Source organism: Homo sapiens, chromosome 4, assembly GCF_000001405.40.
Source record: "Homo sapiens chromosome 4, GRCh38.p14 Primary Assembly".
NCBI lineage: Eukaryota > Metazoa > Chordata > Mammalia > Primates > Hominidae > Homo > Homo sapiens.
In genome coordinates, this window is record NC_000004.12 from 6,211,757 (window position 1) to 6,225,256 (window position 13,500).

At 41.6% G+C, this 13,500-nt stretch overlaps 1 long non-coding RNA gene across 1 annotated transcript in view, besides 2 other annotated features; it reads left to right on the plus strand.

The window, feature by feature from the left end:
- JAKMIP1-DT (JAKMIP1 divergent transcript) overlaps positions 1-13,500 on the plus strand; it is a 33,204-nt gene that overhangs the window by 11,024 nt on the left and 8,680 nt on the right. The window lies entirely within an intron of this gene.
- Positions 9,898-10,027: an enhancer, noted in NCBI's record as "active region_21259". NCBI's record gives its function as "activates an Ori minimal core promoter by ATAC-STARR-seq in GM12878 lymphoblastoid cells {active_cell/tissue: GM12878}" and the evidence as "EXISTENCE:reporter gene assay evidence [ECO:0000049][PMID:35858748]".
- Positions 10,168-10,217: a silencer, noted in NCBI's record as "silent region_15228". NCBI's record gives its function as "represses an Ori minimal core promoter by ATAC-STARR-seq in GM12878 lymphoblastoid cells {active_cell/tissue: GM12878}" and the evidence as "EXISTENCE:reporter gene assay evidence [ECO:0000049][PMID:35858748]".

The following is a 13,500-nucleotide window of genomic DNA, read 5'->3' on the forward strand; positions in this document are numbered from 1 at the left end:
GCATATATATACACACACACACACACACACATATATATATGATTTGCTCTTTTAGATTTGATTTGCACTTTTGAGGTTTGTCTATTCTCTATCCCTTGCCCACTTTTAGTAGGGACATTTTGTCTTGTGCGCTGTTACGGCTCTCAGCATAACAATGACCCCTTTGCCTGTCGCCAACGTTCAAGCACTTTTTCCAGATCCAGCATTCATCTTTTGACTTCATGGCATCTTTTACCACACAACGACAAACTTTTTACATAGTTAAATATGTGTCTCGCTTTTTAAAAATAGCTTCTGAGTTTTATTCTTGGTAGAAAGTCTCCAGGACACATAGACTCATTATGCAGCTTCCAAGATTTTCTTGAGAGTACAAGAAAACTTAGTTCCTTCGGGCAGTTATTATACAGTGCTTATTTGCAGTACAAAAAAATTTAAAAGTGGTTTGGCTGGCAAATATGACCTTATAAAATACCTTTAAGTAAAGAAGTTTTCTATTATTTTAAAAATGTTTTTAGTGTGAAATGTTGTAAGAATGCCAAATATCATATATATAACACATATATGTTCTCTAAAGCACAATAAGAGGATTTCATTTGCATCCATATACTGCCTCTAAGGAAAGGCACGTGTACACACACACACAAACACACACACACACACACACACACACACACACACAAAAGGCAGTGGAATTATACCATGTGCAAGTGGTGCTGGAATGACCCAAGAAAGCTTTGAATGATCATAGTCACGTCTATATTCACCGCCCCTCCAGATAGTGAGAAGTTCTGATTATCCCTTTTGAGAATAGGGGCGGGTCAGAGAACAGGATCCAATCACTAATTGTTGAATTGTGATGTCTGTGCTATCTGGGACATGACTTCAAGTCTTTACTATATTCAAAGAAGAGAAAATAATAAACAAGCATAGATGGACCCACCATTCAACTTAACACATAGAGTATTAGCCATATCCCACACATCTCTCCCCATTTGGTAACCATTATCTTCAAGCATGTGTTTATCTTTTCCCAGTTTCATATACATGGTATATACATCTTCTTCCACATTTTACTTTTTAATTAATATCAAGTTTTAAAATCAATTTTGATATCTGCGGCTGAACTGGGAATGGACATCAGTTTTATTCATTTTACACCGTGCCACTATGGACCCCCTCCATTCTTATCTTCTGATGCACATGCATAAGATATTTCTAGAGCAGAGATATTCAACTGCAAAACTATCGACCTTTGGGCAGGATAATTTATAAAGGGGGGCTGTCCTGTGCATTGTACAATGCATAGCAGTATCCCTGGCCTCTACTTAAGAGATGCCAATTGCATCCTTCCCTCAAAATGTGACAACAAAAAGTGTCTCCAGCCATTGCCTTCCAGAGGGCAAAGTCACCCCTGATTGAGAAACATTATTCTGGAGTATATGTTATAGAGATGGAATTGCTAAGTCATGGGCATGAACATCTTCAACTTTACAAGATACTACATTTTCTAAAATGTTTATGCCAATTTATTATCCAACTACTAAGGACTGAGTTTTTGTGTCCCCCTAAACTTCATATGTGGAATCTCTAATCCTTAATCTGATGGTATCCGGAGATGGAGTCTTTGGGAGATAATTAGGTCATGCGGATGGAGTCCTCACAAATGGGATTAGTGCCCTTATAAGAAGAGACAGGAGAGAGATGATCCCTCTCTTTATCATGTGGAGGATACAGCCAGAAGGCGGCCATCTACAAGCCAAAACAAGGGCCCTCACCAGAACCTGACCATGCTAACGCTCCGATCTTGGACTTCACCCTCCAGAACTGTTAGAAGTGAATTTTTGTTGTTCAATCCACCCAATTAAAGGCATCAGCCAACAATCTATAAGAAACCAGTTATTTCACGTATTTGCCAACGTATAGTATTGGCTGAATGTTAAATTTTTGCCAACCTGGTGACTGTAAGGTAGGCACATGTTTTGCATTTGTTCTTTTTTTTTTTTTTTTTTTTTTTTTTTGAGACAGTTTTGCTCTTGTTGCCCAGGCTGGAGTGCAATGACATGATCTCGGCTCACTGCAACCTCCGCCTCCCGGGTTCAAGTGATTCTTCTGCCTCAGCCTCCCACGTAGCTGGGATTACAGGTGCCCACCACCACGCCCAGATAATTTTTGTATTTTTAGTGGAGACAGGGTTTCACCATGTTGGCCAGGCTGGTCTCGAACTCCTGACCTCAGGTGATCTACCCGCCGCAGCCTCCCAAAGTTCTGAGATTACAGGCGTGAGCCACTGTGCCTGGCCCCTTGCACATATATTCTTTTAAGGGCTTGTCATTTCATATTATTATAGTTTCCTTTGGGTGTATAGAAATGTTCACTTTAATATAGTAGGGCCAGTCACAGTGGCTCACACCTGTAATCCCAGCACTTTGGAAGGCTGAGGCAGGCAGATCAGTTGAGGACAGGGGTTTGAGACCAGCCTGGGAAACATAATGAGACCCCATTTCTATAAAAAATAAAATAAAAAAGGTAGCCAGGTGTGGTGGTGCATGCCTGTAGTCCCAGCTACCTGGGAGGCTGAGGCTGGAGGATCACTTGTGCCCAGGAGTTCAAGGCTGCAATGAGTTATGGTCACCCCAGTGCACTCTAGCCTTGGCAACAGAGTGAGACTTTGTCTCTAAAATAATAATGATAATAATATAGTCAATATTTTCCTTTGTGATGTGAGCTTTTTGTGTTTTGTTAAAGAAATGCTTCCTTTTCTTGAGGCAATAAAATATTCTCCCATATTCCCTTTTAAATGTTTTTAAGTTTTACTGCTTGTTTTGAGAATAAATGCTTCTGGAATTGTGTTTTATGTACAATGGGACCTAGAGAGTCTATTTATTTTTTCTCTCATGGCAACAACCAGTTGCCTAACCAGTTGTCCTGGCATTACTTATTTAGAACTCCATCCTTTTTCAATTCAACCTGTGACATATATTAAGCTTCCATGAATGCATGGCCTGCTTATTTTATTCCATTCGTCTATTTCCATGCTAATATCACACTGGCATAATTCCTTTAGCTTTATAGCAAGTCTTGATATCTGTCACAGTAAGTTCCCCCAACTTGTTCATCTTCTTCAGAGCAATTAAGCTATTCTTAGTTCTTTTCTCTTTTATATAAAATTTGGAACTAGCTTGGCAACTTTTGCAAAGAACCCTGTTGGGATTTTGATTGGAATTGTATTGAACCCATCACACAATTTGGAGAGGCATGACATCTTATAAGACTGAGTTCCCTCATTTATGAATCCTCCTATTTATGTAGGTCTTCTTAAACATCTTTCTATATGGAAGTATAATTTTCTGTGCAAAGGTCTTGCACATATGCCAATAGATTTATTTTCAGTAAATTTTATTTCACTATTGTAAATGGTATCATTCTTAAAATTATGCGTTCTTTATGTGAGAGGCAGAGGATTCTGCATGTCCTCATTAAATCAAGAATATTAATTGTGTTGTTCAAATCTTTTCTATTCTTACCAATTTTTCTTTTTTACTCTTTGGCCTGTCAATGAAAGACGTATGTTGAAACATCACACCCATTAGGATGGCTGCTATGATTTGAATGTGTCCTCCCAAAATTTATATGTTGAAACAGAATCCCCAATGTGATAGTATTAAGAGGTGAGGCCCTGTGGGAGGTGATTAAGTATTGAGGTGGGACCTTCATGAATGAGATTAATAAGAGGCCCAAAGGAGTCTGTTTTCTCATTCTGGCATGTAAAGACAATGCCAGAAGGCACCATCTATGAAGCAAAGAACAAACCCTCACCAGACACAGAATTTGCTGGTGAGTTAATCTTGTACTTTCCAGCCTCCAGAACTGTGAGCAATAAATTTCTACGGCTTATAAATTACCCAGTCTATAGTGCTTTTTTATAGCAGCCCAAACAGACTGATGCAATGACTATTATTGTTTAAAAAAACAAAAACAAAAAGTAGGAAGTGTTGGTGAGCATATGGAGGAATTAGAACCCTCATATGCTGTTGATAGGGATCTAAAATAGTTAAGTCACTGTGGAAAGCAACATGGCTATTTCGCAAAAAAAAAAAAAAAAAAAAGCATAAAATTAACATACAATTCTGCTGTGCCACTTCTGGGTATACCTAAAAGTAGTGAAAGCAGAGACTTGAACAAATATTTGCACACTCATGTTCATAGCAGCATTAGCCACAACAGCGGAAAGGTGGAGGCAACCCAGGTGTCGTCCATCAACAGATGAATGAGAATATGATGTGGCAGGTACCTGCAATGGAATGTTATTCACCCTTAAAAAGGAAGACATTTTGACACATATTATAACATGGATTACATTATGCTAAGTGGCATAAGCCAGTTACAAAGAACCAATATTTTATGATTCCATTGATATGAGGTTCCTAGAGTAGTCAAATTCATAGATACAATGTAACATGCTGGTTGCCAAGGGGTGGAGAGAGAGGTAATGGGAGTCAGTGTTTAATGGGTACAGAGTTTCTGTTTTGGATGACTTAAAAGTTAAGGAGATAGGTAGTGGTGATGGTTGCACAACAATGCGAATGTACTTAATACCACTGAACTTATAACCACTTAAAAATGGTTAAAATGGCAGATTTTATGTTACGTATATTTTACCACAATAAAAAAAATTTAAGTGATATGTTAAAATGCTCCACTAAAGAGTGAAATTGTCAATTTATCCTTTTAGTTCTCTCAATCTTCATTTTATGTATTTTTGTTTCATATACAGCATCATGCATGAAGTTCTAGAATTGGGATCTCTTCATGGTGAATTTATTATTTGGTAGTAAACCTCTTTATCCTAATTATTACTTAATCTAATCTTAATCTAATGATTTTGTTCAATATTCAGAGCTGCAGCAGCTATCTTTTACTTCACGTGCCTTTTTCCATCCTTTGACTTTCAACATTTCTGTGTCCTCCTCGTGCTCTGGGTACATCTCTTGAAAACAGCATACAGTTGGGTTCTGCATTTTTAGCCAACCTGATAACCAGCCAGCGTATTCACCTAAACAGACTATAATTACAGATATTTTTGGAGTTCCTTCTACCCATCTGATTTTGTATTTTTATTTGTCTTGCTTTTTCTTTACTTCCTTTTCTCCCTCTTTTCCTTCTTCTTTTGGATTGCTTGAGCTTTTTTCCTTATTTCTTTTTCCTCTACTGTCTTAAAGTTATACAGTTTACTTCCATATTTTCAGTGACTAAAATAGACATTTTACCATATTATTTTATGGTAAAATAAATCAAATCCTAAAGGAATCAAAATCTCAATTGTCATCTCAAACAATAAATGCTTTAACCTCAATTTCTTTTCTCACAGAAGCATGTGTAAAACACATGCTATGACATGAATTATATTATGCTAAGTGAGATAAGCCAGTTACAAAGGACAAATATTTTATGATTCCATTGATATGAAGCTCCTAGAGTAATCAAATTTATAGGTACAATGTAGAATAGTGGTTGCCAAGGGGTGGAGGGAGGGGTAATCGGCATCTGTGTTTTTGGTCCAGTTTTTTAGTTTTAACATCTACATTTTTAACATACAAATTAGACCACTAATTTTATATGCACAATACGTATTATCATTCACTCTTAAATATGTTATTATATTTCCCCTTTTTTCAATCATTCTTTTGATTTCTTCCTTGACCCATGTATTATTTAAAGGTGTTTTACTTAATTTCCTAATATTTGAGGAGTTTTGTAGACATCTCATTGTTACTAAACTCCAATTTCCAACTACTATCATCAAAGAATAATTTGAAAAAGTTCACATTTTCATGTTTCATTTGTCTAATAATCTTTAATGGAAGCTGGACATTGTGAACATTATGCCGTTGAGTGTTTAGTTTTGTTTTCTTCCTTTAAAGAATGTTTGGCTTTCTTCTGTCCAACATTTAATTTACTTGCAGATCAGTTTGATGCCTTTGCAGTTTAGTTTTAATTTTTGTTAGGTTTGGTCTTAGGGTTGCTTTTACATGAGCACTTGGTCAGCCCTTTACCTAAGTCATGACCATTCTGGGCTCTCTACTGAATGCCAAGGGAATTTAGCAAGATCTTTCCACTCTGACTGATTAGAACTCAAATGTCTCCCAGCCTTGTGAGAGATCCAGTAGTTAGTCAATTTTCAGCTCCCTTGTAGCTTGTCTTTGCCTAAATGCAAAAAGTTTCATCTGTTATATGTTTGGCTTAGTATTCATTCAGAGACTCAAGAGGACCCAAATGTGGCGTTTTAGAGCTCTTTATGTGCATGGCTCCCTCTTGTCTGATATTCTACCTCTCAAATCCCAGCTTCCTTGGGTTTCTCTGCCTTCTACCTCTCCTCAGCTCAGCAAAGTCACCATGCTCTGCTTCAGTTCCTCTTCTTACATTACAGTTGACAAAGTGCCAAGTCATCATAGAGTTCACCTTATTTGCATTTCTTCTCTCAGAGATTACTGTTGTGCTCTGTTTGTTGCCCAAGATCTGAAAACAAAATTTTTTGCATATAGTTTGTCCAATTTTCCTCATGGATAGGAACAGAAATCTCAACTCTTCATTTTCTCTCAGCATCTTGAATATATTAGTTCTATGTCTTTGGCTTTCTATTGTTGCTGTTGACAACTCTGTGGCCAGTTTACCACATTTCATTCATAAATGTTCATAAGATACCACTGAATATGCAATCCATCATTATTTTATTGACAGTAAGAGATAAAAAACTGCCAATTATAATTGTAAGACTCCATCAATGATAAGATTAGTCCCAATTTCAAACGTGTTAAATTGTGGGAAAATACATATCTTGGAATTGATGAAATACGGTCACTTTTATTTTTTGTAGAGTATCTTTTCTGTTTTTGTTGCATCTTGATTTATCTTGATGTCTTCTTATTTCATCTGAAATTATTATATGTAGATTATTTTTCTTTACACTGCTTGATATACTTCGTTTTTCCTAGATTTGAAATTTGTCATCTTTGAACAGTTGTGAAAAATTCTTAGGCACTATCTCTTCAAATATTGCCTCTCCTCAGCTTTCTCTATTTTAGTCTTCTGGAACTCCAATTAGGCAAGTGTTAGACTTTCATATTTTATCATGCATGTCTTCAAACCTCTCTTATTTCTCTTTTCTTGTCACTTTGCATTGCATTCTCGGTAATATCTTCAGATCTGTCCTCTGGCTTATTCTGTCTTCAGGCAATCTGATCTGCTATATAACACAACAATTGAGGTTTCAATTTCAATCATTAAATTTCTTTGTTTGTTTGTTTCTTTGTTTGTTTGTTTTAAAGACAGAGTCTCACTATGTTGCCTAGGCTGGTCTCAAACCCCGGCACTCAACAGATCCTCCTGCTTCAGCCTCTTGAGTAGCTGGGACAATAGGTATGTGCCACCATGCCTAGCACATTCACTATATTTCTTACTACAAGATGCTTTAGTTGGTTCTTTCTCAATTCTTCCGGGTCATTTTGTTTGACTTTTGCTCTTTGAACTTTTAAATTCCATTTTTAATTTCTTAACACAGTTTATGTTTATACATGATTATTTTTGCTCTCTGAATTAGATGTCTACTATCAGAAATGCTTGAGGACCTAAATACATTGTTTATTATTCAGCTGCTTCTTGCTTACATTGAGCCATTTCGCCGTGTGTTGGGTAATTTTTATTATGAGCTCAGGCAGGATATGTGGTGATGGGACTAGACTGAGGATGCTTTTCTCCAGACAGCACTGGCATTTGCTTCTTCTAGGCTCCAGGAGGCACTACCAATCTGTAACTATAATATTTTAATTTCGTTGCCCGGGTGATGTTTCTTGACATTAGGGGCAGTATAAATTTGAACCTCAGTCACACGACAGAGCAGTCCTCTGGCTACAAAAGTTCAGGAAAGACTCTCTAGCTTTGTGTACATGTTTCCACCCAGAGGCAGCAGAGATGGCTGTGTTCATCTGTCCTCTATATCCGTATGAATCCCTCCAGCTTGAAGTTCCTGTTGCAGGTGCCTGTACCCATTGGGGCCTGGATTTCCATTTTCATAGCCACTCTAGTTTGGGCTGATTATTCCTGTTTTTTGTGAAGAGGCATAATCTTTGGGCATTTCTCTGGATTCTCCTGTGAGTTTAGCAGGGCATTTTGAGTTTGTTGTAAATAGTTTCCCATCTCCATATTTTAGTCTGTGAAGGTGTTTCAGTTGACATTTTCAGATGAGCATACCATTGGGATCCCAAAGCCTTCTTGCAAATTTTTTATTGTTTACTTTATTACATTTAAGTATTTAATCTGTCTAAAATTTACTTTTGTATTTGGCATAATGCCAGAGTCCATTTTCCCCTTTCCAATGGCTAGCCCGTTACCAGCAATATTTATTATTAATTTATTCTTTTTTACTGAATTTAACCATTAGATTTGTCGTAAACTAGTCTAGCACATGTTCTAGATTTAATTCTAGTTCCATCTTCTGTTTGACTCATCTATTTGTCCATTCCTATATCAACACCAATTACTGATTAGATTCCAGTGGCTCTTTGTATCCTCTGATGTAGGAACACTCGAGTCTCACTTGAATGTTCTTACATTTTGTAATTTTTAAACTATTCTCAAAGATTTAGTTTCAGAGACTATTTTGTACTCACTTTGTTAAGGAGGCGGTCTCAGCATGTATTTGCTACACTTAATTGGACTAAATTGAGAAGCTTCATGGGGAGGTAGACAGAATTTCACTTGGACAAGCCACTTACCCTCTTCCAGACTCAGTTTCTGCCACTAAGGAAGGATGGGCTAGTGCCCTAGACCTCTGGGCTCCTTGCCGGCTCTAGAATCCCAGCCCGGATTGGCTTCTCCTTAAGCACTGGACAACATGCAGTGATAAGAACAGCTGTTTGTATGTGTGTATTTTTGTTTGTTTTAGAGACAAAGTCGTGCTCTGTTGACCAGGCTGGAGTGCAATGGTGCCGAGATAGCTCACTGTAACATCAAAACTCCTGGACTCAAGTGATCCTCCTGCCTAAGCCTCCCAAGCTGGTACTACAGGCATGCACCACCATTCTGAGCTAATTTTTTAAAAAGAGATGGGGTCTTGCTATGCTAGCCATGCTGTTCTCAAACCCCTGACCTCAAGTGATTCTTCCCACCTTAGCTTCCCAAAGTGTTGGGATTACAGGTGTGAGCCACCACACCCAGCTTTTTTGTGTTCTTATTGGCCAGATAACGCATGTCAGGCGTCCTGCTCAGCCAGTTATGTACATTCACCCCTCAGCATCTCATTTAATCCTCAGGCATCCCTGGGAGGCAGGTGCTATTCATACTATCTCCATTCTATAGAGCAAGGAACTAAAGAATACAGCGCTATAGTGACTTATTTGCTGAAGATATTGGTTGAGTAAAAAAGGAAACAAGGGAATGGAGTGGCGAGCTTTGGGGGAGTATGCAAAGACCAAATTATGTTATTACATAATTAGTGCACATTGTTCTTGATACATGAAGAAGCCCTCAGTAATAATAGCTTACTCGTTTATTGAGTGCTTCCTATGTACTTTAGGAATATTAAATCATTAATCCCACAACCTTCTTAGCTAATAGGCACTATTATTATCTCCAGTGTACGGACCACGAGATTGAGCCCCAGGTATGTGAAGTCACCAGCCCACCGGCACCCAGCAGAGGTGGCTGATGAGCCCAGACCGCTAGGCTCCAGGGACTGTGCCGTCTCTAGGCAACCGCAAAAATTACCACCCACAGATATGGCGAACCCTGTGATTGTCACCAGCTCACCTGTCTCGGGTGGGAAGGGGATGTGCAAACATGGAAGCGTTGCCATTGGAAGGAGGGATGGAGCTCGTGGCCATTTCTAATGTTTAAAACTATCGTTTAAATTATACTTTGAATGTTTTTATGTAAAGGAGGTGCACCAAAGGGTTAACAGGTGGTTGACTCTGGAAAGGACTCCCGGAGAGCAGCTGCTCTGAATTTTCTAATTTCGCTACACTGGTGATGTATCATGTATTCCTGTGTGATTCGAAAATGTTAAAAGTCATATAATAATGTAGAAGACGACCCTTCGCGAGCGAGGCCCCCCACCTCTGGCCACTGAGGGCACTTACGTAACTGCGGGGCGGGCGCAGGCCTCCACTGGGTGAGCGGCAGGCGGGGGCGGGGCTGCCCGGAGCCTCGGCCCCGCCCACCCCTCTCCCCCGCCCACTGTCCCCGCCCAGCCCCGGGCTGCTCGGAAAGGCCGGAGTCCGGAGCACAGCAACGCGCGGAGCGGCCCGGCCCCTCTGGTGGTCCCGCCCACGCGACCCGGGCGCAGCGGCGGGCGCCGGACAGCTGTCCCGGCGGGCGAACGACATGCAGCGGAACTGCGGGAGGCTGCGGTTCGGTGGCTGGACTTGCGTCCCCCACCTCCTCTGTCGCGCGTGCCCTGCTCCCCAGTGAGGGCGTCCCTGGGATGGGATCTGGGCGCCCGGCGCAGCGCGGCTGACAACAGCCGAGCGGTTCCGGTGCGCTGGCACGTGGCTCGGGCCTGCCCCCCCGGCCTGGCCGCCTCCCGGCGCGTTCCCCGGTGCAGGTGCCTGGCCCGTGCCCCGCCATCTCCGCCCGGCGCCGCCTGTGCTGAAGGAGCCACGCCCCGGGCTCCGGAGCCTGCCTCTGCAAAGTCCAGGCCCGCGGCGCGCAGGTCAGGGCCGCTGCTCCGGGCGGACGGGGACGCGCGGTCACAGGCAACTCCTGTCCTAAGGGCAAGTGAGACAGGATCAGGGCTGGTATGAAGGCATCTCCATTAGCAGGGAACCAGACACCTTCCATCTGACTGCTCTGCTATCCTTCGCATGCTGCCTCATGGTCCAAAGTGGCTGCTGAGCACCAGCCTTCGTGTCTGCATTCTAGCCAGCAGGAACGAGGTAAGAGTGAAAAAAGATGCCATTTCTTTATGAATATGTCCCAGCAGTTCATGTAGATCACAAGAAGCCAGTCCACTTTACAGGCAGAGGTGGACTCCAAAAGGTCTGATGACTCTCAGAAGGTAATGTGTGCAGCGGGGGAGCAGGATTCAAATGTAAGTGGACTGCCATCCGTACAATAGCAGCCAACCGGAGGGCTTCCTGCAGTCCAGCACCTATCCAGCACTTACCTAGTCGTTTAATCCTCACAGCTAGTGAGAGAAGAGCTGGTTACCCTATTGTACAGAGGAGGTCACTGAGGCTCAGAGAGGGTAGGTGATGTGCTCAAGACTTCAGAGCCAGTACATGGAGAGGTTGGGACTCCAATCCGGGCAGTCTGCTCCAGAATCCACACTTTGACCACCACCCTCCACTGTCGCTCAGCCTTGTAAACTCTCCCCTTGGAATCCTGTCTGCAAACCTGGTTCAAGTTGAGATGAGAAATGAGGCAAGGGAGGGCCATTGGTGTCTAACAGTCCCGTGTTCAAAAATAATAAAGTACAGCGTGGGCAACATAGTAAGACCACCGTCTCTACAAAAAATAAAAATTAACTGGGCGTCATGGTGTGTGCCTGTAGTCCTAGCTACTTGGGAGGCTGAGGTGAGAGGATCGCTTGAACCTGGAAGATTGAGGCTGCAGTGAGCCAAGTTCACACCACTGCACTCCAGCCTGGGTGACTGAGTGAGACCCTGTCTCAAAAATAACAATAATAATAATAATAAAGTACTTCTTTTGCACTGTATTCGTCACCTTGGCCTGCCATAACAATATGCCATAGACGGAGTGGCTGAAACAACAGAAATTTCCCCCAGTTCTAGAGGCTGGAAGTCCTAGATCAAGGTGCCAGCAGGGTCCAGTTCTGGTAACGAACTATCCCTGGCTTGCTGGCTGCCTCGCTATGTCCTCACATGGTGGAGAGAAAGATTTCTCTGCTTTCTTCTTAGAAGGTGACAGTCCTATTGGATTAGGGCTCCACCCTCATGATCTCATTTATCCTTAAATACCTTCTAAAGACCCTATCTACAGATACAGCCATATTGGGGGTTAGGGCTTAAACATCTGAATGTGTGGGGGCTGAGTGGAGGATGCAATTCAGTCCACAGCACAGGGTTAGTTTACTTCAGAAATAAATGAACTAGAATTTCAAAGTCAGGACTACAGTATCAAAAGGTGAGAACCCAGCCTTTAACAGTTTAACTTTTCTCATGGTGTCTAGAACAATGTAATCAACATTCCCACTGTTCAGATGGGGAGAGTGCTGAGTGCCCTTGACAAAGTTCTTGGGAATAGCCAGGATCTAGACTTTGCTAGGGCAGTTGTTTGTAAACCCACAGAGGCCATGGGCCATTTCCTGACAGTAACTGTAATCATCTTCCGAGCTTGGGTCTGGTTCCCAAATGATACATTGCATAAACTAAAATGCTTTTCCCTTTGAGGCTTGCTCAGCAAGCTGCAGAATCTGGTTGATCGGTTTGTACTTGAGTTTTTTCCCTTACTGGTAAAGAGAGAGAGGGAAGGCATGTGCTGAGTTCGGCCATGTGCCAAGCCCTTTGCAAACATTAGCTCCCCGACCCCACCACTGCTCCTTGTTGCTTCCCAGTTAGCAGCTTGGGGGTAAAGGAGCTCTCAGGGTCACACCATGTCAGAGCTAGGGGTGAGCCCAGAGCTGTCATTCAAGCCCCTGTTTGCTTTTGCTCCTGCTGACCCCCAAAGGAGCTTCTCTTCGTAAAACAAAATTCTTTTTAAAAAAAACTAAATGTCCAAAATTCACCATCTGTTGCAATCTCAATGTATTACGTTGGTGCAAAAGTAATTGCAGTTTTCAAAGTAATTGAAATTGCCATTGAAAGTAATGGCTAAAACTGAAAATACTTTTGCACCAACCTAATAAAAGGGTTGTGCTGGTGAAAACTCCTGTTGGAATGGATTTTTCCCCTTGGAATCTTGCCAATCAATTAATTTGCAGCTCTGCTACTGGCCTTTCTAAAACTTGAACCTGGGAGGTTGAGGCTGCAGTGAGCCAAGATCACACCACTGCACTCCAACCTGGGTGACAGAGGGAGACCCTGTCTCAAAATAATAGGTTTTTCAGCCTTCCCTTGGTGGGCCATGCTCTCTTCCTCTGTTTCCTCTGTAGCTGACACATTACTGTGTGTGGGCAATGTTCTCCACGTAGTAACACCCTGTACTAATGATGAGTGCGCTGTCTACGTGACTCTATTTAGGGCAAGGCAATTTGGTGTAAATCCTGCATGAGGAGTTCAACAAGAACAAAAAGCTTCAGAGGAAAACATCCTGCAGCCTTCCCCTTTGTCTCAGTAACTATGGTTTCTGGGCAAATTAAGAAAACACTCAAGAAGGTTTTCTTTTTTTTTTAATGGAGCTGAAGCACAGAGCCTCAGATGGGCACAAAATGATGAACACATTTATTTTGATTTTTTACTTATAATACTACCATATAGAGAATTACGGTAAATATAATATTCCCTCCAATTAACAACAACAACAACAAAAAACCTTCTCTGCGCCAGA